This window comes from Homo sapiens, chromosome 1, assembly GCF_000001405.40.
Source record: "Homo sapiens chromosome 1, GRCh38.p14 Primary Assembly".
NCBI lineage: Eukaryota > Metazoa > Chordata > Mammalia > Primates > Hominidae > Homo > Homo sapiens.
The window spans coordinates 200,150,146-200,177,729 of record NC_000001.11 but is presented as its reverse complement, the minus strand read 5'-3'; the positions used below and the strand labels follow the sequence as shown (position 1 = coordinate 200,177,729).

At 38.8% G+C, this 27,584-nt stretch overlaps 1 protein-coding gene across 9 annotated transcripts in view, besides 1 other annotated feature; it reads right to left on the bottom strand.

Annotated features, from left to right (window-relative positions):
• NR5A2 (nuclear receptor subfamily 5 group A member 2) overlaps positions 315–27,584 on the bottom strand; it is a 149,706-nt gene continuing 122,436 nt past the window's right edge. For all 9 annotated transcript variants that reach the window (NM_205860.3, NM_003822.5, XM_047416753.1 and 6 more), the window contains one exon: positions 315–3,767. In NM_205860.3, the coding sequence (NP_995582.1) occupies positions 3,520–3,767 (248 nt within the window). In that variant the 3' untranslated portion in view covers positions 315–3,519. The remainder of the gene's footprint in view (positions 3,768–27,584) is intronic.
• Positions 24,055–24,124: an enhancer, noted in NCBI's record as "active region_2295". NCBI's record gives its function as "activates an Ori minimal core promoter by ATAC-STARR-seq in GM12878 lymphoblastoid cells {active_cell/tissue: GM12878}" and the evidence as "EXISTENCE:reporter gene assay evidence [ECO:0000049][PMID:35858748]".

Sequence of the window (27,584 nt, the reverse complement as noted above, 5' to 3'; positions counted from 1 at the left end):
AATTAAGAAAGCACTTGGGAAAGTTATCAGGACAACATAAGCTCTACAAAAAAGTGAGATGCTATTAAGATTTTTCTGCTTATTGATTATAACAGTAAATGATATAAAATACTTTGTTTCACATGTAGAGATGATGCTCAGATTGAATTTAATGCTTCAGGTATCCATGGAAGGACAGCCAACCACTCTAGAAGTTATCTAAAGGGAAAAGTATCTATTCCTGTGGGATTCTTTTGATTTCACTCCTAGTCAAGTCTCTTATTTAGAAGCTTTAGTATCCGATAGAATGAGGACAACATAAAAACTTTTAAAAATTATCAGGCTGGGCATATCAATATTTATTGAAATACTGAAAAAAAAAATTCCATTTTGTTGAGAAGTTCCTGGCAAGAACTGACATGACAATATGTATTTCATTGATACAGTAAGAAAACATCAACAAGTAACTGACTTCACACTCTAAACATTGCATGGATTCAAGTCCAAGGCAGCTGCAGATCTGTGATACAAATAATCAGACATTAGAGATTGTCTGTTTACAAACATAGAGCAACTATAATAAACCAAGTTAAGCCAAAAACCTTTATATTTGAGTCTGCTTTTACCGGCAAATCCTGTAATTGATAAGGCAGTTGCTAAGTAAATGCCAGGTTACAAATCGGCTAACAATCAACATTAGAGAAACTTCACTTGTCAACCTTGGGTGAACAGACGCTGGCTGTGACGCTTTCTTGCTTATCAGCTCCTGTCGTTGGTGTGATCAGCAGTGTGGATGTAACCCGCTGTGTTGCCCGTCTTTCTAATCATTCTCATGATTTAATCTACCAGGTTAACAACATACCAATATGTGACATTTTTTAGGTTTAATTTTCAGTGGGGAGCACTGTATCTTTAAAATAAGAGAACATAGATTTTAAGAGTCAACGTAGCCAGGTATGCTGGCATGCACCCCTAGTCCCAGCTATGGGGGAGGCTGAGGCAGGAGGAATGCTTGAGCCCAGGAGTTCAAGGCCAGCCTGGGCAACATGTGAGATCAAGATCCCGCCTCTTAAAATAAAAAATAAAATAAAATAAAAATCAACATATTTGTTTTTTTGGCAATGTTAAAGACCCTCCAAATAGTTATAGTCAAATCTTATAATTGTCTCCATCCACATTACACATGCATGATAGAACCGTTTCATTAACTGTTGACCACACCATTCCTCTCCATGTATCTTCTAGCCAACTTGTTTTTCAGCTGGGGAGGGCAATGATGCTGCTGTTCTCTGTAATGCTTTGGGTATGAGCTCTGATCGGCGATTTTGCATTGTCCTTTGAGCCACGAAGATAACACGGGTGACTGAGACTGCGCATGAGTCAACGCCCAGCTTACCTAATGTGTACCCTTCATGTGGATGAGTATTAGAGGTGATTAATAAACATAATAAAATAATCCTCTTTGTACACACAGAAGTAATAACTAATATCTTTGGTATACAATTTACAATGCTTGGAAAGGAAAACCAGGTAAGACTCCACCTTGTTGAGTTTACTTGAAAACCAGAGGAAGCTACAAGTCACATAATTTACAATAGATATTAAATAAACTACAGTAGGAATGATGAAGATTTACAGACATTTAATCAAGTGAATGATTTTAATTCATTAAGACTCTTCTATGTCCCTGAACTAAGTTCCACTAATTTGAAGACATGCTACAGTAAACACATATATTTGGTTTCTTCAGTCTTGGCTATATCTTATACAAAGGTGAAACCAAGAAACAATAAATTAGCATCATAATTGTCTACAGTTGAAAGTATGATATACAATATAAATACACTACTCAAAAGCCAGAAATATTTATGAAAAAATTAAGGGACTAGGAGATACTTTTATTTTTTACAGTTTCTACAAAGTGATTGTGCCGCCGATAATCTCAAAAAAATTAAAGTCTAAATGAGATTCCCGTTTTTGATTTTAGTGTCTCACGACATAGAATAATTAAGTACTGTTAAAAATAATTACCAATCAGAAAAATAACATTAAGGAAATTACCGCTTTTGCTATTTTGTTATATCACAGATCCCCCTGCCCCTCAGGACCTAAAGAATGTAAACACTATATCTTATTTGACTTTAAAGTATTAATACTTTATTTTAAACAAATGTTGATCCACATCTGCACAGCTACCTTTTAAAATTGTGAAATAAGGCAAGACTTTCATACCTGTGGCATCGCATGTTAATAATACTGATAATAGTCATTTGAAGAATTTGCGATTCTTTGTCCTCCCATATTTGTTCTACAGCAGACTTTGGTCTATGACTTAAAAAGGTCAGTATCACTCTCTTCCTTTCCCCTTTGGGGAAGATTTGAATTACTTTAATATCTTTCCAGGACACATGTAAAAATCACCATTTCCATCCCAACTCTTGAGGATGTTCAATTGCAGCAAGAATGAACCTTGAGTCAATACATCACCTCATCCTTTCCTTTCTCTTTGCATAGATTAACATGCGTCAATTTTGTTTCCAACTACTTAGAACTGTGACTATTTGACATCCTAGCAAAATGTGTTTAATGTTGTATTTTTAAATGAACTACAAACTTGGATGATGAAAAAGACTGATGTATACTAACAAGACTTCCTGCCAGAAATTTTTTATGAAATCCAACAATGCCAAAGCCACATTTCAGCAACAGTAGCAGAAATAAGGTCTAAGTTGCTTTAGCTATGGAGCATTTGCTTTGAAAGTTTGTAGTCATTTCCCTTAATATTAATTAACACTTACATAAGATGAGGGATACTGCCTGCATTTTCTTAACATCATGAACACGAGACAAAACAACCCTCAGAACATATTTAAAATGGCAAGCTAACATATTAATAGAATTTCCTATTAGCTGTTTGCAGGTCTAAGACACAGACACTCAAAATTAGGCTGTTCATGATTTGGTGGAGCTACCACTGGGTGTGGCTGAACACAGGTCCTTAGTACAGATTCGGTGACCACAGGGCAGAGGTGCTGGGGCCTTCAAAGGAAGAGGGAGGGGCTATTGTAGGTACAGCTGATGCATTCTTGAGAATTGTTTCAGTTCAGCTTTACCATGGAGGAATCCTGTAAGCTCAAATCCCCCGCTGTATAAGCCTAATTAATAAGATTAGTTCCTAAATTTCTTCATAGTGGAGATCAGTTTAAATATACAAGAACCGTTCTGTCCGTTTTTCTTCTGACCGTGTTGGTATCCATCTGTGAGTTCAATCCACTCCATTACAATGTCTTTTATATGGAATCCTCTGGGGCTGTGAAGCCTTTGATTCACAGTTTGCAATACAAATACCCTGATACATCATTTATTTGCTATTAAGTATTTGATTATTATGCCTTTTTAAATTCAATATCTTTAAAGCAAGTTTTTAATTAGCGTTACTTGGAGCAGTTCAGAGTACTTTTTTTCTTCCTGTTCTTCTTCCCCCTCCCCACTCCCCCAATCTCTTTTTGTTTTGAAAGCAGAGCTCCTAGGGGTTGTAACTTATGCTCTTTTGGCATGCAACATTTCAATGAGAAGGTTATTATAGGGCACATCCCCGTTCAGGTGCTTGTAGTAGAGGTATTCTTCAGCCTGCATACTGATGGCCCGGATTTCGGGTAGTCGAAGAAGTAGCTGTCCAAATTTCTCTGTCTGCTGCGGGTAGTTACACATTGTGTAGTCCAGCAGGGCGGCATTGACTTGTTCCTGGACACCTTCTACCAGCTGGAAGTTTTCAAGGTTTTTGACATCTGCATTAAAAAAAAAAAAAAAAAAAGCAACATTTCAATAGCATTTCAATTCCTGTTTACTAAAGCAATGTGTTCAATTAATGGATGTATTTTCCTTTTGACATAAACATACTTTACATGCTGCTGAATATTCAGTAAACCCCACTCACCAAACTTCCTGGGAAAAGGATCACAAAAGAGCTTTAGAAGAATGTCTTGTTGAAATTCTGCATATACCTCAAATCAATTAGACACCAGTGGATTTTGAGCAAGGTCAACTCTTTTCATATCTTACAAAAGGAAAGGATTGAGGATTCCTAAAGTAGAGGGATCTTAATATATTGCCAGCAAATGAGTCCCTGGAGAAAGACCTATCTTAACCCAGTATATTACACAATTCATATAATTCTGTATTAATTTTTCTGACCCAAGGTGAAATCTGTGTCCAGGGTATGATGTAGTTAATTCTAATAAAAAGTGACAGGATTCTTGTTTCTGTTTGACATTTTCTAAATGATTCTGAAAGTCTTTGACTTGTCTAGCCTATGCTAATGAACCATCTGGTACACTCCAGTGACTGCCAACAGAATATTCGCTACTGGGAACTCTCTAAAATATATATCTTGGTGACTAATGATCTTTATCAAATGAGAGCCTTGTCCTTTAGGCAGAACACAAGCCAGGATGGTCAGTGCCCTTTAACCTGCATGTAGTTTCTAAAGTCTGATACTCTGTGTTTCTTTTTTTTCTTCTGGTCACTCATGTAGAGAAGATGAGCAAAGGCATTTCATTCCGCCTAACTCCTGATGACTATGCAGTTGTTTTTAGACATCTGCCCTAAAGGTCCTTATAAATACTGAATAAGAGAGAAAGCCAGAATAAAAAAAGACAGACTGACATACAAACACACACACAGACAATAGGCAAGGGAAAACGGTATGCTGGAATTTCTCTTCTGGGGTTGATTTATGTTAACAGTATGACTTTTATATGATGTGTACATAGAAGCCTCTGGAAAAAATAGACAGATACGTGTGTGTGTTTACATACACCCATGCTCAGAAAGTAAACAGATGCAGCCACCCTGCCCTGCTTTATTTTCTAATTGGACAAAAATAAATAAGAAAGAGAATATGGAGAAAACCACACAGTACTATGACTAAAAGGATAAAGATACTAAACTCGGTTCAAGTAATTCATACCCACTATATACTGTTTTGGGCATTATATACTGTTGAACTTAACCTACATATGTGTACATGTCCATCTTGTTATTTCTAAATGGCTTTACACTGGGCTGTCATACATTCGCTGTTGAAGTGTGTTCAGGACGATTTCAGTGTTTACATTTGGGCCATAGCTTTGCATTAAACATGCTTCCCCTTTCCATCCCCAAGTCTCTGACCCAAATTAAAAACAGTGAGGAATTAGTACTGAAATAGTTATGTAGTGAGTTGGTACCATATCTCTTTCAAAGTGAGATGGCAGACTCAAACATAGTTGATTATTCATTGATGAGTTGTACAAACATAAATACTACACAATAAGGAGCTCTGAGTCTTCCGGTGGCATTTAAATTGGCAACCACATTGGTGTGCTCTGGACATTTTACCCATGCGGCACTTTACAGTTAGTAAAGCATATTCCACCTGTCTTATTTAATATATTTTAAAAATGATTTTAAGTTACTTAAAAATATTTATAAGTATGGCTATGTATCCAGAGTCATACTTGGTTCAAAATTGCAAAATATAAACAATCAGAAATACCTTCAATATGTCCTACCTTGGTACATGATAGAAAAATCTACATTTGTTTTGCATTATAGTGATTAAAACATGACTATTAAAAATTTGAAATGCAGTATTATTTTACGCTACAGTGAAAAATACTCTCACCAGCAAGCAAAGCTAGTAACAGTCAGAGATTAATAGAGAGGATGTAGAAATTTGCATAGAATGAATGTAAAATGTAAGAAAAATGAAGAATACCCTTTTTAGAAAGTTGTTTGAAACTTTCCTTTTTTGATAATTGTATTTTTTTGAGAACCAGTTTTAACATTCTGTGATAAACTATGCTGCTCTGTTAAGGAAAAACAAAAAGAAAGAAAACTACCAACAAACATAAAACAAAGGCTAGATCATAAGTTTTGGTTTATCCACTTACTATTATAGAATGATAATTTAGAGTCTTCAGCTCAGCATTCAATGGTTAACTTCTTTCTTTTTTTTATTTTGAGACAGAGTCTTGCTCTGTTGCCAGGCTGTAGTGCAGTGGTGCGATCTCGGCTCACTGCAACCTCCACCTCCTGAGTTCAAGCAATCCTCCTGCCTCAGCCACCTGAGTAGCTGGGGTTACAGACTTGTGTCACCACACCCAGCTAATTTTTATATTTTTAGTAGAGATGGGGTTTCACCATGTTGACTAGGGTGGTCTCAAATTCCTGACTTCCAGTGATCCACCCACCTTGGCCTCCCAAAGTGCTGGGATTACAGGCGTGAGCTACTGCGTCCAGCCTCGATGGTTAATTTCTATGAATACTGGTCCAAACTGACACCCTTTTCCCCCAAAACTTGGGAAATATGTGCAATTTTCCTTCTGGCAGGAAAATATATAGGTGTCTCATATTTTGGCTAAATATACTATTTTTTGCTAAAGCTGATCAGAATTGAATCCACATGCCTGAGTTAATTATCCCATTAAGCTATTTTGATGAATGTTATCATGAAATAATAAAACATATGCTGCTAATTGTCCCAAAGATTCTTACTTGCCGAATGTCTATTTTGTTTCTACATCTATACACATGGCAATGATCCTGAAGAAGTTCTGAGTGAATTCCTCTCATTTACTGACCATGCCATTCCAGGATCATTGCTCTGCTGCCTGCCTTGATGCTGGCTTCTGTCTATTTAACTGTCTGTTTCCCTATGCAGACCGTAAGCTCCTGGGGATAAGGGATATGCTTTAGTTCAGCCATCCCCAGGGAATACACCGGTAACTCCTTGCTTCACATTATTGGTGCATTTGTCCAAGATTGATACAATTGTGAATTTGACCTGTTAAATTATTTCACAAGCCAATTTCCTTCCTTTTTCTAACTAGAAACTGATTTTCAAAAATTTGGCATATATGTAATGGATCTCTCCCTGAAATAAAATACTGTACTTTACATGTAATAGTCTTTTCTATTCAAAAAGTCCTGTGATGAATCCTTTTGTGATCTGAATAATCAAGTTCTAATTTACATGTTTTGCAAATGAGGATTTTCACTGGTCAGTTTTGTGTTAAGGGAAACGTGCTTATGTTCTCATTTGGACTGGAATCAGTCCCTGGGATGCTGCGGACTGGACCTGACAGACAGGTAGACCCTGGATTTTCCACTGTAATTGAGGTAGTTCACAGATAGTTCACAAGGACCTAAAAGCAATGGAAGAGATTAAGTGCCAAAATACAAATGATAACACCTCCCAGAAGACCTGGAATTTTCACTCATTTATGTGGTTCACTTGTATTTACTTTTTAGGAAGAGTTTAGAAACTTAAGTGTGTTTCCTCGGTACTCATGGAATTAGTTTTGATGAAAATGCATACTTTTTCATGAAAATTAAAACATGAATCCCATATAAATAGAAATTTAAATTCTCAGAACTTGGGGATGGAAAGGGAAAGCATGTTTAATGCAAAGCTATGGCCCAAATGTAAACACTGAAATCGTCCTGATTTCCATTTTCTCTGGAATGTCCCTCCAATAAAAATCAAGTCCTATTCCATATTAAGTAATGGATAGTAGCTGGCAACTTGGGAGTCTGAACTCATCTATAGCAGGAGTCTCTAACAACAGAAATATACAAGTGAATTGATATTAAATTATATTAAAAAAACCAAAATCTAGACAAATGATTACATGTTCTGGAGTTCCCAGAAATACATGTTTTTGAAATTTGCTGTTTGGTTCTCATATTAAATAGCATTGTCCCACATCTGGATTTTAGCAAAAGACCCCCAGCTGGAGGAAAAGAGATGGATATGAGATAAAAATTTCCACCAGTTCTTCTGTGGCATTTTAGGCTGGATTGCAAAGGCTCCTGCATTTGGCACTCTGTGCGTTCCTTTGAAATTTATATAAGCTTCATTTTCATACAATTTAAAAACACCAGTTAATAAACCCTATCATTACAAATTCTGAGTTGGAAATAGTATGTAAACAGACAGAGGCATCCCCAACCCTTTCTCTATAGCCTTTAAATTTTGATGACTGGCGAGAGCATTTTGTGCTTCTCTTAGTATCAATCTGTTATCATCTATTCTACTTTATTCACTCAGGGACTAATTACCAACTTTTTATATGAAGCAGCATTACGATAAGCTCACAGTGGGGTGCTCAGATTTTTTCCATCCTTATTGGAAAGTAAACCCTTAGGTCTTCTTGAATATATTATAGTACTGACTTTTCAGTCACACACAACATTCAGGCTCTCTCTGAAGAGGAAGATACTCTTCTCTGCCTCCCTGGTAGCTGCCATAATGGTGCAGCCTATAAACCTTGTCATTCAACACACTTTTTCAGAAATGGGTCCTCTGCTGAGCCAGGGGGCTGGGGGCTGTGAGGCTCACATGGAGTGTGTTGACTTTTGCTGATAAGGTAATTATCTTTGTTAATTTTTCAAAAGTGGGAAAAAATTCCTTAGTCTTTTTTGTCTTTTTAAAGATTTTAAATATTTTTTATTTTTTAAAAATTACTAATATTATTGTCTGATTTTTTTTTAATAAATAGGGACAGAGTCTCGTTCTGTCACCCAGGCAGAAAAGCAGTGGTGACATCGTAGCTCACTGTAGCCTTGAACTCCTGGGCTTGAGCGATCCTCTGGCCTCAGCTACTCCCGGTCCCAGTAACTGGGAGTTATCTGGGATTAATTACAGGTGCGAGCTGGTTTATCTAATCTTTTAAAGGACATAAAGGTGGAAAAAAGAGGTACCGTTTTGCACATAGAAAATACTTCTTTTCCTTGAGGTCTTTAGAGAGATGACAATCTATAAACTGTCACACGATTTGCCCTCAGAAGGCCCTTTCCTCTAGAAAAGGAGAAAGAAAATAGATTTTCTGTAAGGAGCTAATGTTCAAAATTATTTTTTAAAGGGCTAAATATGGATAATCTGCATAACTAATTTTGTAAGAACTTCTGGAAGTTGCAGAACATGTTCGTTCTTTTCATACGAACAAAGTTCACTTTTAAAAAGAAATCAGGGCTGTTTAGGGATTGGGGAGGGGAGGGCAGGATAATTTTGGTGCTGACACCTAAACTGAGATTCTGTCTCCAGTTTCCAGCAATATCTGAAACTCAAGATTTTAAATTCATTCCCATAAGTCCCTTAGAATAATATAGGTGTGTACACACACACACATGCACACACACTAACCCAAGAGTTATTTTTACCAACTAGAATGTATAATTTTGTGCTTTCATAGGCAAATTAATAATAAGAAAATGCTGCCCTTGGCAGGAGCTGTCTACAAAAATGGAGGATTGCTTCAGCCCAGGAGTTTGAGACCAGCCTAGGCACCACAGCAAGACCCTTGTCTCCCCCTAAAAATAAAAATAAAAAGTTGGCTGGATGTGGTGGTGTGTGCCTGTAGTCTCAGCTACTTGAGAGGCTGAAGTAGGAGCATCATTTGAGCCCAGGAGTTCAAGTACAGTAGGCTGTAATTGTGCCACTGCACTCCAGCCTGGGCAACAGAGTGAGACCCTGTCTCTTAAAAAAAAAAAAAAAAAGTAGATATAAAGTGTATATACTATATATGTACACAGAAATAACAGGCCCTTACAACTGATTGGTGCTTTGTAGTTTACAAAACATTCTTAACATGCTTTATTTATTATTTCATACCTTCGTGTATACACAATGTATACACATTCATTCATTCATTCATTCATTTATTCATTCAGTCTTAACAGCTCTGGTCTGGGTGTTGGAGATATGGAAATAAAAGGCACAGTCTCTGTGTACAGTAGCTCAATTAATGTGATACAGATAAGCAGTGCCCTTACAGGATGGGCAGCTAACACAGGGTTCAAGAGAAAAGAGGGGTCCCTGGGGAAGGTGACACCTGAGGAGTTTTGAAAGATGAGTTAGAATGAGCTGAGCAACGCGTGGAAGAGAACGCACATCCTAGCAGACAGTGGTCTATATACAAACCCTAGAGAAGGAAAGAACAGAGAGGTCTTTGGTACACTGTTAAACAGCTCAGCCTTTGTGGAGAAGGAATAGGTGGGCAAGATGAAGATGGGCCCTAAGGTTTAAGACTGTGAAGAGTGCTGCATGTCAGATGGTCTGGATTTTGTTCCAAAAGCAAGGCAGAAACACTGAATGGTTTTAGGAAAGAGGGAAATGGTCAGCTTTCTGATTTAAAGAAAGCATTCTGCCAGAAGTGTGTAGAAGGGACTAGTGTGTGCAGGAGGGTGAGGGGAGAGCAGGCTCATGGAGGGAGACCAGCCAGGATCCTGCTGCAGGAACACAGATGAGAAATACGGCGGCCAAGGAGGTGGGGAGGGACTTGAAAGGCATCAAGATGGTTGATGCAACAGGGTTTGCTGGCCTTGGGTTAATAAAAAATAGGAGAGACAGAGAGAAAGAGTGAGGGTCCTGGATGGCTTCCAGGTGTCTGTTAAGGGAAGAAGGTGGTGGCTGTCACCAAGAGGAGCAGCAGATTTGAGAAGCAATATTTAAGGAGTCTAGGTATGGCCATGTTGAATTTAAGGGGCACATGGAATATTGGGTGAAGATGTCCAGGAAATGGCCAGACATAAAGGTCTAGACCTCAAGAGAAAGGCTTGGGCTGGAGGTATAGATTTGGGACTTATCAGTGTACAGCTGATGGGTGATGGGTGAAATCCCAGGAGTTAGTGAGAGTATGTAGAAAACTGGCCTAGGAGTGGGATTCAGGATAAGCTAAATTGTAAAGGATTCTATCCTAGAAGGTGTTATAGGTATGATGAAATTAAGAATCAGAGGGATTAAATGGCTTTCCCAGGATCTCAAAGTCAGTAAGAATGAGGGAGGAAATAACATTTACCAAACACCAATTAATGTGACAAGTGTCTTTAACATATGTTTTCTCATTTAATCCTCTTAAGAATCTTATGGGGAAGTTATTATTAATATCATTTTCCCAGTGGAAAAACAGAGGCTTAAAGGGGTTGAGAAGCTCATCTAGGATTTTAATGCTAGTAAGAAGATCTTGAATTTATGACCAGGCCTGTCTCACTCTAAAGTCCTTGTATGCTCTACCATGAGACTTCCCTCGGGCGGAGCAGGAATCTGAACCCTGCAGGGCTCATTATTTTAAAGTCCTGGAGTTTTTTTTCCCCTATTGTGTCAATGCCTGCAAGTTTCTGTCACTTGCTGGAGTTGGAGAATGGGAAGTGCTGGTTAGTCAAGTAGTTCCGTTTCTAAAGGGTCTCATGATATGCGAATGAATGGTTTTCAGATAATTTGAATGAAATAATATACATTTGACATTTAAATTGGCATGTAACACAACTTAATGTTTGAGATTTTGAAGGAAATTTCACATCTTAAATGCCACAAATCACTATTATAAATAATAGTCTCACGATGGAGACTGAGTACAGTCTAGTGTTATGGGGCACCTTTGTGGGGACTTCTCTGGACAAGCCCCACCCCAACCCCTTCCAATTGTATTGTACAGGTGCCAAGGCTAAGAAATAAGAATTTCTCCACTTTTGACTTTTTTTGTATACATGGTTTAGAAAAAAAGCTCCCACGGATCAAAAATGTTTGAAAACCACTTGATTTTGTGGTACAATACCAATGTTCAAAGGGAATGGTGGGCTACTCTGGTCTCTGTCACACTGAAGACATTATGCTAAGTGAAATAAGCCAGTCACAAAAAGGAAACGCTTATGAGTCCACTTTTAAGAGGCACCTAGAGGCACCTGTGTCAAATGAATTTGTTAGGCACAGAAAATAGAATGGTGGTTGGCAGGAATGAGGAACAGAGGTTGTTGTTTGATGGGTATAGAGTTTCAGTTTGTCAGATAAGAATTTTGGATATTGGTTGTATAACAATGCAAATGAACTTAACACTACTGAACTGTATACGTTTAAATGGTTATGAAGAAAATGTATGTCTGCACAAAAACATGCATAGGGATGTTTATAGCAGCTTTATTCATAATTGCCCAAACTTGAAAGTAACCAAAATGTCCTTTAGTATGTGAATGGTTAGACTGTGGTGTATCCAGACCATGAAATATTGCACAACACTAAAATGAAACGAGCTGTTGGCCCATGAAAAGACATGGAGGAAACGTAAATGTGTATTATTAAATGAAAGAAGCCACTTTGAAAAGGCTCTATATTGTATGATTCCAACTGTGTGACATTCTGGAAAAGACAAAACTATGGAGACAATAAAAAGATGGGTGGTTGCCAGTAGTTGGTAGAAGGAGGGATGACTGGGCAGAGCACAGAGGACTTCTAGGGCAGTGACACTACTCTGTATGATACTGTAATGGTGGATACATGTCATTACGTGTGTCCAAATCCATAGAATGTACAACATCAACAGCGAGCCCTACCTACCTAATGTGAACAGCGGACTTTGGGTGATGAGGATGTGTCAATGTAGCGGCATTCATTGTAAAGGTTTCACTCCAGTGTGGAATGCTGACAGTAGGGGAGGCTTGTGCTGGTAGGGGAATGCTGACAGTAGCGGGGCAGGGGTTATGTGGGGAGTCTCTGTACCTTTTGCTCAATTTTGTGGTGAACTTAAAACTACTCCAGGGCTGGGCACGGTGGTTCACGCCTGTAATCCCAGCACTTTGGGAGGCCGAGGCGGGCAGATCACCTGAGGTCAGGAGTTTGAGACCAGCCTGGTCAACATGGTGAAACCCTGTCTCTACTAAAAATATAAAAATTAGCTGGGTGTGGTGGTGCATGCCTGTAATCCCAGCTACTCGGGAGGCTGAGGCAGGAGAATCACTTGAATCCGGGAGTTGGAGGTTGCAGTGAGCTGAGATTGTGCCATTGCACTCCAGCCTGGGTGACAAGAGTAAGACTCCGTCTAAAAAAAAAAAAAAAAAAAAAAAAAAACTGCTCTAAAAAATAAAGTTGGCCAGGTGCGGTGACTCATGCCTGTAATCCTAGCACTTTGAGAGGCCAAGGCGGGTGGATCACTTGAGGTCAGGAGTTTAAGACCAGCCTGGCCAACATGTAGAAACTCCATCTCTTCTAAAAATACAAAAATTAGCCGGGTGTGGTGGCTGGCACCTGTAATCCCAGCTACTCAGGAGGCTGAGACAGGAGAATCACTTGAACCCACGAGGTGGAGGTTGCAGTGAGCTGAGATCATGCCACTGCACTCAAGCCTGGACAACAGAGCAAGACTCTGTCTCAAAAAAAAAAAAAAAAGTCTATTAAAATCTATGGAAAAGTGGTTAAGATGGTAAATTTTACATTGTGCATATTTTACTATAATTAATGTTTTAAATGTAATGTATATGTCAGTTTTTAAACATAGTATAGTGAATACCTATGAATCCACCACTCATCAGGAAGACCAGAACATGGTCAGAGCCCTTCAGGCTATCTGTGTGTTCCTCCCAAGAACGAATTCCTGATGCCCCAGAGGTGATCATAATCCAGAATTCTGTATTTCCACTAGGCCGTTCTTGCACTGCTATAAAGAAATACCTAAGACTGGGTAATTTATAAAGAAAAGAGGTTTAATTGGCTCATGAACCTGCAGGCTTTACAGGAAGCATGGTGTTGGCATCTGCTCAGCTTCTGGGGAGGTCTCAAGAAGATTAAAATCATGGTGGCGGGTGAGGGTGGGGCAGGCACATCACATGGTGAAGGCAGGAGCCAGAGAGAGAGAGTATGTGTAGGGAGGTGATACACATTTCTAAATTACCAGATCTGGCAAGAACTCACTATCACCAAGACAACACCAGGCCCTGAGGGACCTGGTGTTTTGGATCATGACCCCATGATCCAAAGACATCCTACCAGGCCCCACCTCCAGCATTGGGGATTACAGTTCGACATGAGATTTGGGCAGGGACAAGGATCCAAACAATATCACCTGTTTTCTTATATCCCTAAATGATGTGTTCTTATTATTGCTTGTTCATGACTGACCTTACATTATGCATACATTTGTCTAATTTTAAAAACTGCCAAGCTGGGTGCAGTGGCTCACGCTTGTAATCCCAGCACTTTGGCAGGCCAAGGCTGGAGGATCTCTTGACCCCAGGAGTTCAAGACCAGCCTGGCCAACATGGAGAAACCCTGTCTCTACAAAAATACAAAAATTAGTGAGTGTGATGGTCTGCGCCTATAGTCTCAGCTACTTGGGAGGCTGAGGTGGGAGAATCACTTGATCCCAGGAAGTTGGGGCTGCAGTGAAGCAAGATAGTGCCACTGCACTCCAGCCTGGGAAACAGAGTGAGATCTTGTCTCAAAAAAAAAAAAACAATAAACAAAATTGCCCGTCACCCCCACTAGAATGCTAGAATGAAAGCCGTGTAGGCAGAGACTTGGTCTTATGTGCAGCTGTATTCCTAGTGCCTGGCCAGTGCTCAGCACAGAGGAGATCCTCAGGAAATATGAGAATAAGCTTTTTTGTTTAAATTCTTGCCCTAAACCAACATTTTTCTTTTTTTCTTTTCTTTCTTCTTCTTTTTTTTTTTTTTTGCCTTTGACATGCTGCTATTCTTCCATATCAAATTCATGGCCAACTTTATTTTTATTTTGTGTAGAATTGTTTTATAACAGCAAGTGAAAAGCACAAACTCCATTATAGATTGTACTTTCTTGGGAAATGGATTCAAAGAGGACTTTTTGGCTGGGTGCTTTGGCTTGTAGTGCCAAGCCTGCTTGTTTTTCTCAAATCCTTTGGACTTTTCCATGTGTTGAACATTTTATTTCAGTGTGTTCAATGCTTTCACCAGCTCACTCAGTGACCCATGTGGAAGACTGCAGCATATAACTTTATTTGGTTCTGTACATATGACTGTTTACTATTTACTAGATGTCTCTACCTGATAGCCAGGGGACATCTCAAACTCAGTGTCTAAAATGTAGCTCAATCTGTCTGGCTTTCTAAACCTGCTCCTTCTCCTGCTTTTCTTATACCAATGATTGGACTAAGAATCCATCCCGTTACCCAATATCTACCTGGGATTTCAAGCCTGAGACCCAGATTCATTCATGACTCCTCCCTCTCCTCTTCTTTTCCAATCCAGCCATCACCGAGTTGCTGCCTCTGCTTTCTAATTGCGTCTTGAATCTGTCCTTTATTCTCCATTGCTGCAACCGTAACTCGCCTCTGTTCCTTATAACTGATTCCTCCAATATTGTCCCCGCCTCCAAATGCATTTTCCTCACAACAGCATGAGTGATAACTTTAAATGTGAATCCAATTATGTCCTCTAGTTCCCTCTGCTTAAAATCATTCAATGGCACCCCACTACCCTGGGTTAAAGATTAAACACATTTATCTGGCCTGTTTATCTATCCCGTTTTATTTCACCCCACCCACCAACTTCTTTCAGTTTCTTGAATGTGCCTGGCCAGTACCTGGAACTTTCTTCCCCTAACCTTTATTTGGATAATTTTGACCAATCTCCTGGGCCTCAGCGCAGATATCATTACGTCCAGGAAGCCTCCTTGAAGTCCTCTCTGCTGTGAGTCTACAGCACACTCTATTTGCCCATCATGCAGGGCATTGGGTATTACATGGTAATTTCACTGTCAATTATGAGGACAGGGATATGTCTCTCTTGTTAATTATAACCTTTCCCAGGCCTAGCATAATGTCTGGACAAAGGAGGAGCTCAGTTCACATTTGTCGAATAAGAGAATCCGTTTTGTTTCACACGCCAGTCTTCTTGCTTGCTTGTCTGTGGAACATCTTCCACATATTTGCAATTGCATCTTCCCAGGCAAGCTTTTCTGGATTCTCCGGTTACTGGTTTATGCCTTGCCTCTCCTGCTAGATTGCATTCTCTCAGAAGGCAGAGATTCTGACTTATGTTTCTTATTTCCTACACCACACAGGTATAGCACCACACACATAAAAGACAACCAATGCATTTATTATTGAATTGGCTAATTTGTATTCAGTGCCCATGAATACAAAGCATATGCAAATTAATTCAATAAAAATATATTGAGCACTTTCTATGTATCAATACCCCCAGCTATTAGACTCTTAAGCAATTTTAAAGTTCCTCACCTTGTTAAATTCCTAACCAATTTCAAATATAACAAAGCTCTTTTCCTATAATGTGTCTCTAGAAAAAGTGTAATTTGATTCAAAATTGAAGTAATTGAGCTCAATGAGTAGAAGGAAAACCATTTGATATGTTTGATGTTGTGAAGTGGTAATCTGAGTATTTTCAGGAAGCCTGTATTTTGGGGCTGTGAGCTGTGTTAGGGACCACATCACGGGCATAGAACACTTCCATTTTCCCTCTGTATACACATTTGCAATTTGCATTCTAGAATTCTTAGGGATAAAAATGAGGACAGAATGCTATACTAAAGGGGTTTATGAAACAGATCGTACATTGTATCAACTTCTGCATATCAGATGATAGTGAAAACTACATTAAAATATACGGAAAATCAAAGAAAAATAAGGCCTCTGGCTGGAAATCGATGGGATATTCTGAGCCAGGAAACAGAATTTAAAGGGATATAGGATGAAGCAATTTCCTAGTTTGCCCCTAAACCTCAAATAAAGTTGTATTTAAAATAGATTTAACAATAAGGCCAAATACATACGGTGTTTGATAAAATAGGTAGCATGCAGAATTTCAAGCTTGAGACACAATTGCAGCTGCCTTGGCTGGTCTTGGAGGTCTTAGTCCTTATCCTGCTAAAGACCATCTGCTCCCAAAGCATAGGAAACATCCACATTCGTAAAGAGCAGCCCTCCCTCAGAGAAAACCTCTTCACTATTTTTTTTTTTTTGTACTCACGTCCTGAAACAGTTTTTGAGCATCACTTTGTATTTGATTTCCATTCAGAAACTTTGGTGGTTTTTGCAAAGTTTTATTCTCTTAGAATAAGATATGAGGTTCAGTTTGTTCAGGTGGCAAGTCAAGACTATGAATAAACCAACGTTATCATATGAAAGAGAATTAAACAGGCAGATCCAAGTGGGGATATATTAAGCCAAATTTAAGCTCCAGTTGTTGAATTTAGCCCATACTAGATGTCTGGTTTGCCTCGGGATAAATTCAGCTTTCCAGCTAATCGAATGAGGAAAACTGCCTCAGGTATGATAAAATTTACAAGAGAGCGCTGTGGAACAGTTCTTGTTAAAAATATTAGCTTAAAGGCATTCTTATCGTCTTTGGGATGAAGACTGTATTTGCATTTAATTATTTGATTTCAAACTTTTATGAACTTGGATCAAATATTAGCTTAGCCAATTAAAATATTATTTTGTGTGAGTGAGGCTAAGAGCCCGATTCAGCTCCACTTTCTCAGCTTTGGTAGTGCTCGACATGTTTCTTACTGACTTTTGGAGAGATTATTTCAAAGAGAATCTTTAAAAAGGTAAATTTGAGAATGTAATGTGCATTTAGTGGACAAGGTGCTATCTTCAGAATAAACCGTTGACTGGAAACACTTCTCCATGTCAGAGCATTAGACTAGAAGACAAAAGATGTAGTCTTCTAGATATTTCTACTCACACAATCAATACTCCTTCATAATTCAGCATTTTAAAGAAATCCTCTTCGTGTAAACTATTCATGATACTCCATGGACACAGTGCAGTTGGGATTGCTTGTAGCAGCTTCCTGTTTCTAGGCTTTGCTCCCTGCAGAAGGCAGGCTAGAGCCCATTGTTTTCTATCCCCTAGGTCTTAGAGGGTAGCAAGCGATACCAGCTCACGCAGAAAAGGGACATGGATGACAGTGAGGAGGGTGCCATGGGGAAAATAAGTTTACATGAAACTAAAGAGCAGCAGAACACTCTTAAAAAAATCTTCTCAGACCAGGCATGGTGGCTTATGCCTCTAATCCCAGCACTTTGGGAGGCTGAGGCGGGAGGATTACCTGAGGTCAGGAGTTCGAGACCAGCTTGGGCAACATGGTGAAACCCCGTCTTTACTAAAAATACAAAAATTAGCCGGGTGCTGGTGGCTCGCGCCTGTAATTCCAGCTACTTGGAAGGCTAGGGCATGAGAATCACTTAAACCTGGGAGGTGGAGGTTGCAGTGAGCCGAGATGGCACCATTGCACTCCAGCCTAGAGGACAGAGCGAGACTCTGTCTCAAAAATAATAATAATAATAATAATAATAAATAATTTAAAAAATCTTTTCAAAATGAAAATGTTGAACGAAAGCATTCAACAATCTCTACAAAATAACCAGTTTATTTGGTATAATGTATATTACTCAGCAGTTGACTGGGCAGGAAACTTCATAAAACGTTTGCTTGACCTTAGTGCTCAAGCACGAAGGCAAAGTTAGGTGAGGTCTCTACTGTCCCGTTATGCTCTCGCCCAACCCCAGTATCCCTGGGTGATGTGGCCCTGGGTGACATCTTTGCAATGAGTTGGTTTCATACCTCCTGTGGAGGGGTAGGATTAGATGTGAATGAAGGGAAACATCTGGAGAACCTCTGATTCCCTGGGCCTCAATTCTCATCTTGTTAATTTAAACAGAAATTGGAAACCAAGATATGACTATAATATATTTGTTGTTTGAAAGAACAAGTATTCATGATTTTAAAAGAATCAAATACATGGCCAGACACAGTAAGTGGCTCACACCCGTAATCCTAGCACTTTGGGAAGCTGAGGCAGGAGGATTGCTTCAGGCCAGGAGTTGGAGACCAGTCTGATATAGTGAGATCCCATTTTGACAAAAAATTTAAAAATTAAAAAAAAAAATAGCTGGGTGTGGTGGCATGCAGCTTCTCAGGAGTCTGAGGCGGGGGGATTGCTTAAGCCCAGGAGTTTGAGGTTGCAATGAACTGTGATCGGGCCATTCTAGCCTGGGTGACAGAGACCCTGTCCCTATTAGGAAAAAAAAAAAAAGAATCAAACATATTAAGGTCAGGTCAATACCAGAATGCAGAATAGGATAGGGAATTTTGCTTTCCTAACAGCAAGAAATACACTATATGGCAGCACCATGATGTTCTACAGTGTTGGCTGATGGTTCACTAGGTAAGACTCAGCAACTTGAACTCTATGCTACTTCGGAAATTGTATTTGGGTTTATTTTGGATAAGAAGTTTAAAGAATGCCTTTCTGTGGAGGTTGCAGAGAGCTGAGATCACGCCACTGCACTCCAGCCTGGGTGACATAGTGAGACTTTGTCTCAAAAAAGAATGCCTTCCTGTTTTAGCCTTTGAGTATGTAACTGATGAAAAATAAATTCTATCTAAAGTCAGCAACAGAATCAGAAATTCAAGGAATGAAGAGTATTATTAATGTATCACCAATTTTAACATCCAATTTTTAAATGTTGAAGATGTTTTAGAGGTATTTTATAAAATGCAGGCTAATTGTGAATTGTAATCTCTGAGAATAATACTTTATATTTATGTCATTCTTTGAATTTTTATTAAACCCCTTGCATCTACTTTATCTCACTCCCGCCAACACCTTTGGCAGGTCTGGTACTATCCTTTCTGAGACAGACACACAAAATAGATTAATTGGATTGGAAAAAAACTAGGTATTTGAATATTATAGCTGATGCTCCCAACTCCTTTTTAATTGTGCCCCACTGTGTTAACATGTTACTTTAATTAAGCATTAGACTGAGGTTACTAAAATTGCATTTCTTTAAGTACATATAAATTGAGCTTTTTGTTGCCAAGTTGAAATGTCCTGAATTAGTGAAGTTTATTGTACTTGGTACATTCTATTTGTGCTAAAAGTAATACATCACAATCAGTAAAATTCTTGCAATTTTATGCCCATATGAGAACTGTTACTATCTACATTCATTCTAAATATCCAATATTTTATGAGTTTGTAGAGTTAAATTAAAGCTACTCTTTAAGAGCTAGATATACTTGTTACTTATTATTACATCATTTCCCTTAGCTATTAAAATTCTGCTCAGTAAGATCAGAGGTTGAAATGAAGGGGGAAAAATCATGCAGTGGATCAACACTGATTCTGAATTATTTGCTTGAAAAATGAAAAGAGAGGGTCTCTGGAGTTGAGAACTATAAGGGAAGGGAAACTAGTTGCCTAACAAGATCATTAAAGCCAAATACTTATCCATTTTTGGACAAAACAAATTAATAATTCATTCAATTGCTCAGGGATATGTATTTGTATATGAAAGACAGAAAATCCATATTTCCAATTTGTTTTGTATTTGTGTAACCATGTGGCAGAGAAAATAACAAGAAAGATTATTCTAAGAACTTTTGGAGCTTGAAACATTTGCAAAAGAAGCTATCCTATTTTTTTTTCAGTGTAATGACAGATTTTGCTAAGACAGTGATAATAGTAAGATATCTTATTATCTGATCATATTGGTTTCGTAAGTGCTATGCTCAATTCTAAGGTTTGCATGGAAGGAAACTAAGACTATGTGGTGACCATTCCCTTTCACACCCAGAAATCATTAATTCAAGTGGGGAAAATTGTTTGGTTTTTGCAGATTAATTATAGTCAACTCCTGATTATTTAGCAGAATTATTGATACTTGCATTGAAGTGATTTTAAATCCGTGAACACTGCACTGGCCATAAGACATTGAAATTAGTAAATTGCTCTAAGTTTCAGTTTCCTAATCTTTTAAATGTGTTTTAATAGGAATTACCACAAGGTAGGACAGTGCCTGGCTTATAAAGTATCATCTGTTTCATCTTTCTGCAATGATGACTTAATTGAACAAGAAATATCTCTTCCACCTTTGAAGTCCACCCAGTGCTATTATAAGGAAAGGTCAGATATGATTTATCCCAAGCCTAATGTATCAGTCAGCATATACAGAGAGCGGCTCTGTTAAGATGTCGGCAATATAGATGCTCCAACTTACGATGGGGTTATGTCTCAATAAGCCCATCGTAAGTTGAAAATATTATCACAAATTCATTTACTACACCTAACCTTCTGAACATCATAGCTTAGCCTAGCCTGCCTTAAATGTGCTCAGAATACTTACATTAGCCCACAGTTGGACAAAATCATCTAACCAAAAACTTATTTTATAATAAAGTGTTGAGTATCTCATGTAATTTATTGAATACTGTACTGAAACTAAAAAACAGAATGGGCCAGGTGCGGTGGCTCACACCTGTAATCCCAGCACTTTGGGAGGCCGAGGCGGGTGGATCACGAGGTCAGGAGTTCAAGACCAGCCTGGTCAAGATGGTGAAACACCCTCTCTACTAAAAATACAAAAATTAGCCGGGTGTGGTGGGGGGGCACCTGTAATCCCAGCTACTTGGGAGGCTGAGGCAGGAGAATTGCTTGAACCCGGGAGGCAGAAGTTGCAGTGAGCAGAGATCACGCCACTGCACTCCAGCCTGGGTGACAGAGTGAGACTCCGTCTCAGAAAAACCAGAATGGTTGTATGGGTACTTGAAGTATGGTTTCTACTGGATGTGGATTGCTTTGCAGCATCGTGAAGTCAAAAAGTTGTTTCAGTAGTCATAATATTCTGAGTTGCTCTGACCTCTCCCCTGAGGGAGGATGCAGGTTTGCTGACGTTCCCACAACTGTGGGTGCCACTCCTATGCCCCCTACAGAAGCCCTCTTTGGAGTTTACCCTATAGAACTATTACTGTCTTATAGGGATTTTCAAAACTGAAGTGTTAAGGATGTAAAACAAAACCCTAGACTCTTCACATGACCCCCATGGTGGCTCAGTAAATATACCCACAGCAAGTTCAGAGGCAGCCCACGACCACTCATAGTTCTCTAAGTTTCAGTTGGTAATAAAGCTTTCATCTTGGGAAGTAGTGGATTTAAGTAACTGTTGAAAATTTGATTTTTGGGCCAGGCGCGGTGGCTCACCTCTGTAATCCCAGCACTTGGGGAGACTAAGCGGGTGGATCACTTGAGGTCAGGAGTTCGAGACCAGCCTGGCCAACATGGCGGAACCCCGTCTCTACTAAAAATACAAAAATTAGCTGGGCATGGTGGCTGGCACCTGCAATCCCAGCTACTTGGGAGGCTGAGGCAGGAGAATCGCTTGAACCCAAAAGGTGGAGGTTGCAGTGAGCCAAGATCGCACCATTGCACTCCAGCCTGGGTGACAGAGTGAGACTGTCCAAAAAAAAAAAAAATTTTTTTATTATTATCTGTGGATTCAGCATTGTCATTAATCCTCCATTAACAGAAGGAAATCAGGAATAGCTTTGTAAGTTCCAAAATAGTGAAATACATCACAAATAGCAAACTGGTAGTCGACCTGGCAGTGGCCAAAGCCAATGATGACTTTACAACATCTCACTTCTACATGAGGCTTTTTCAAGATTTTAAAGCAAACACTTCTTTAAGGCATTAGACACATCTCTAAAAACCAATTCTTGAAAGGCCTGTCTTTCTCCAAGTCTACTGTATAATTATTACAGTAAGATTTATAATTTATATAATTATAGAGTTGCTTCATTTTATCTCTATCTTTTGTGCTTCATTTTAAACTTAATGAATGTGCCATTTGGATGCAGAAAGGTTTTTTAAAGAAAAAATGCATAAATGTTAGATTGTGTGCACAGAACAACTGTTTATCTGATGTGATTATTATGGATTGCATGCCTGTATCAAAACATTTAATGCTATCTCAGGATTATCAATCTTAATCCCACTTCTGCATTGGTTGGTGGTGGAAGTGGGATAAGAGCCTAGTACTTACTCTCACTGTTCAGATGACCTTAAGAAGTCCACTGGATTCTAAAGTTTTGCCCTCACAAGCTGCACTTCCACCCTCCTGAAGCTTTATTGAATCTTAGTCCCGGAGTTGTAAACATAGATATTCCTAAATCTCAGTTCACAAAGGGGAACCACCCCTCCTTGGAGGCTGGAATGCGTAGAAACCTTGTTGGGTAGGTAAAATAAAAGCATCTTTTTAAGCTTCTGAGAGAGCTTCCAGCCACTAAGGCAGGTGCCAGAAGAGAAGACGTGGGTAGATAGCAGTCAACATGAACTGGACATTAGTGTGTGAACAAGCAGCTTACTGACTTGTCCATCATTATCTCTAGAAGACCCTTCCTAAATGTTCTGCTGAAACTCTCATAATGCCTTTCTTTTTAAAAATTTACTTATTTCTTTATTTTTAAAGATAGGGGTCTCACTATGTTGCCCAGGTCAGATTCAAACTCTTGGCCTTGTGTGTTCCTCCTGCCTCAGCCTCTGCAGTAGCTGGGGCTACAGGCATGTGCCACTGCATCTGGCTCTCCACAGCTCCTTTAATGACCAGTTTATCTACTTGCAAGTGGTGGACAGTGGTGGGGCCACCAGAGACCACCACCATCTCTCTGGTACTTGAGTATCACCCCATTGCTCTCTGGTGACTCATCAGGGCTGGTGATTATTGTTATCAACTGAACCCAATGCACAGCCACAGGTTCCCTCCCACACTGCAAGACTTTGCATGTTTTGGTCTAGAGGCAGTTAAGAGAGGATGTCAAGTGTGAGCCCAGCTATCAGTAAGTAGGAAGTCTAACACAGGAAATAACACCATCTGTGAGGCTGGCAATAGCACACTCCCACAAAAGTACTCTTAATCATGCTTACACACACACACAACTTCAGGACTGCTGAAACAACCCTGAAAGGTACATATATTGAGGAGCTGGAGGAAGCAAGAGCAGACAGGGAACCCCTGTGGAAGGAAAGATACTTCTGGAAATAATGTGGTGAAAGTGAAAAATATATTTGTAAAACAAAAATATCCAAAATTATTTTTCTTACCATAATTTGCATAAATAACACACCAATTTAAGAATGCAACTGAATCACAGAATAACATTTATGTCAGTGCAATTTTAGAATCCTCTTTTTGACATATGAACTAATTTTGTTCTTTTTTCTTAATTAGAAAATTCAAATCTTACATGATTAGGGAATGAAATAATTATAATCATAATTGTCTTTGCTTTCATCTGTGTTTGATTTTCTATCTACTTCTCTTTCCTTTTCTTTTCCCTCCATCCCTCTATCTCCCCCTCCATACCTTTCCTCCTTCCTTTTATTTTTTCTTACCTAAAGTAAGAAACAAAGTAAGTACTTGCTCATACATTATTGTCTCATTCTTAGTACATTTTCAATTCCTGCTTAAAATGCATTCTTTCACTATACCTGTTTTAAAAAATGTATTAAACAGCTACTAGATGTATAGATGTCTAACCAGCAACCTCTCTGGCAGGGAGCCGTAAGGTTGATGGCATAATTACTGTCATTCTGGATTTCCCCATCATTTTGACCCTATAGGGCTTGGAACAGCTGGGTTGGAAAGCCCCTACTGTGCATAATATCCTGTTCTGGGTTTTCTGCCAGAGCTCGTACCCTCTGTTGACTGCACATCACAGCAGTGCAGGGATGCTGCGACATTCTCAGAGCCAACATTCTCCTATGTGGCTCAGGGGAAGCACCAGCTTATTTGGTATTAGGGTTCAGTATGTCATGGAAGGATTTCTTTTTAACTATGTGAAAAAAGCATGTGGAAAGAATGTACTTTTAACAGGAGCATGAGTGCTACCTTGAGGAAAGTGTTAGCTGAATTCACAGAGAATCTGTAATCATCCAAATGCTATTCCACTCTACTTAGACTTCCATTTCTTGTAAGGACAACTACTCTAAAGTAGGCTTTAGATAAGTACTACTGCATATAAGTAACATGCAAAACACCAGCCAGGAAAGTAGCAAAAGGAATAAACGAAAGCAAGAGTGTAATTAAGATTGGCAATGCATGAATTATTTTCACTGTTTTAATTGTCAGGGACACTGGCAAATAGAAAGGCTAACCTTGCAGATGTCATTGCTACCTGGTTTGCTGGGGAAAAGAGGATCTTCCTCTTGGGCTGTGGTGCAGGAGAGAGCCTGTTGCCAGTTTCTCAGCATCCTCTGATGAAACCAGCAAAGACTAATTAATCTTTTCACAGTCCTTGCAGAGCATACCTTTTGGAGCATTAAACTCTCAATGTAGTGACCATAGCTGAATGGCAGTTCATTCTGTTGTTAGAATGTCAAAGGCAAATGCAAAATTCTCACATAATTTTTGGGTGCATAGAAAAACGAAATAGAAAAAAAATCCACAAAAGTTGGGAAAACTATGAAAAAAATGGGATATTTGAAAATTTTATCATTTAAATATTCCTCCCTTCCCCTAAAACAAAACAGATGCCCAAAAATCAAACCACTTGTTCAAATTCATCAGTATTTTAAAATGGTATTTTGGGGAAGTTAACCTGGTACTCAAGGTTTTAGTTTGTTTCCTGTTTGTTACTGTAATATTTCAAAACACATTTTTGTAGTTTCTTAACATTCTTATATGAACATAAAAATTATCAGGCACGTTTTTGCCTTCTTGCTAAATATATTATCTCTAAAGATAAAAAATAACTGGAGTTTGGACTTGGATCATAACAGTAACATATGGAAAACCTTTATGTAGATCATAACTATCAGAAAGTAATGAACTAATTACTTAAATATATAGATCTGAATACATTCATTGCACATGTTAAGATTGGGAATTCCATGGGATTTATGATTTGTACATGGTTCAGATTCAGGACTTGTTAGGATTTGCTTTGGAAATCTCTTTATGTTGCCCAAATTGATGCTGAAATGCTAGAGAACTTCTGAGGCCTTGAGAGTCCCCCACCCAGACTATCAGTTCATACATTCTCTTTTTCAGCAGTCTCAATTTACATGCACTAATTGGTAGCTAATGTGCTCCCAAAGGCAAATAAAGGTATTTGTTGCTTTAAAATCCTAAGTCTTTTTCTTTTTCCAACATGTGCTTGGAAAGAGAATAAAACTTTGCATATGTATGTCTGGGACTCCTGGATCTGATTAAGACCCTGGTAATATTACTCTGTATTCACACAGTTCTTAGGGTCCTCATTGCTTGGCTGGGTGTTGAGCGCATGACTATTGCAGCATGCACTTCAGCCAGTGGTGACTTTCTGCTTACGCAGTCAATCTAGTAAATACTAATTCAGTATTTCCTCCCACTATCCTGATGACCTTAAGAAGACAAATGCAAAAGAAAACCAGAAACAAAAACCACGTAGGAATCGCATTAAATACCTTTATATTCACTTTGGAAATGCTGTGCTCATTTTGAAACATGATAATGCCTCCTGTCCATTCCCTTTGAGAGATTTTATAGGGTCTCTGTGCTTCCATGTAGAATATGATACTATTTTATAATTTTTCTATAGTTGATTTTTCTAATGCAGTCTGGGAAAAAAACAGTTGAGTGTTGTACACCTTCCATGGTGAGCATCTAACAAGTTGTGCTCTTGCAGCGGGGGGCTCTTTACTTGATGTACACAGTAATGAAAGCTCGCTATTGATTTTTCTGTAGCTGCTTGTAACTATTATAGTTGATACATCAATAGAAAAGGAAAGCACAATGTTTCATGGGAGGCAGAAAATCAGAATACATGATGCTCTGACAGTAAATCATGGCATAATCTTAAGAATTGATAGATGGTTCCTGCTAACTTGAAACCCATGGCTTTCTCTAAAAAGACAGTCCTATAATCGCCCAATATGTCCTAACAGACTGACTGCCCAGAACGATGCTAAAAGACACAAGACAATGTTTCATCTTCTAAAGAAGGCTTTTTTTCCCCCTTCCAGTGGGATGAGTGAAAGACATTTCAGCTAGATGGTTTGCAGTCAAGGAGACCATTTTCCTCCCAGCCCCACCTTTCTAGAATTGAAATGCCTTACACTCCAAGAAAGCTCAGAGAGCAGGTCATTTCTGAGAACAGCAAACAACAGGGAGGAAAAACAAACAAATGAACCAACCAAAAAATCAACTACCTTCAATTCTTAACTCCCACGGGTCCTGGAATGAAACAGAGCACTCTTGTGGAACCTGGGCGTTGCTAGTGAAGAGGCGATTAGGCTGAAAGGACTTGCACTGCAGCGGTTTCTGACCTCTAAGAGTACCCAGAGTCCTATGACTCATGGGTGATGTTCTTCTTATGTGATTAGAGACATGGTTGGAAAATGCCTGGGGCATTAGGAAGGCCTGCATTCTGCCTTTCCAGAGCCTTTTTAGAAATCTTAAATCAATAGTGAAGACTTCTAAACTGGTGTGATATCTTATGATCTCTCTTCTCTCTCCCAACCCTCTACTCATCTTCACTGAATATTTTTTTTGACATTTAAATACACAGGGTTAACTCTAAAACAATTATACCTACACTGAACTTTCAGTGTTTAAGCCATTTTACAAGCATCTCGTAATTAGCCCATTAATTACTGGAGCTTTGAGCATTGTTTGAAGCTCTTCCCCATCAAATGTATGAATTATTTAACAAGAAGCTCTAATTCTAAGTGGTACTGATAATCATCCAGAGTCTTACTGTTGTAGCATAGAGGCATTAAATATAGATGATAGTTACTAGAGTTCAAGATTGTTTTTGTCTTTACACCATGTTGATGCTATAAAAACAAGTTAGTGATGGATAAACTGGTTTACCTATTAACTCCTTGAATGAATAGTACAATTTCATATTTCCTCCACTAAATGTCTACCAAGGATGACACAAGATGGTTTAGGTTCATAAGTTTTAATTTGATTTTGGTTTCCTTTTATGTGTCATTCTGGGGATTTCATGAATTGACATAACAAAACA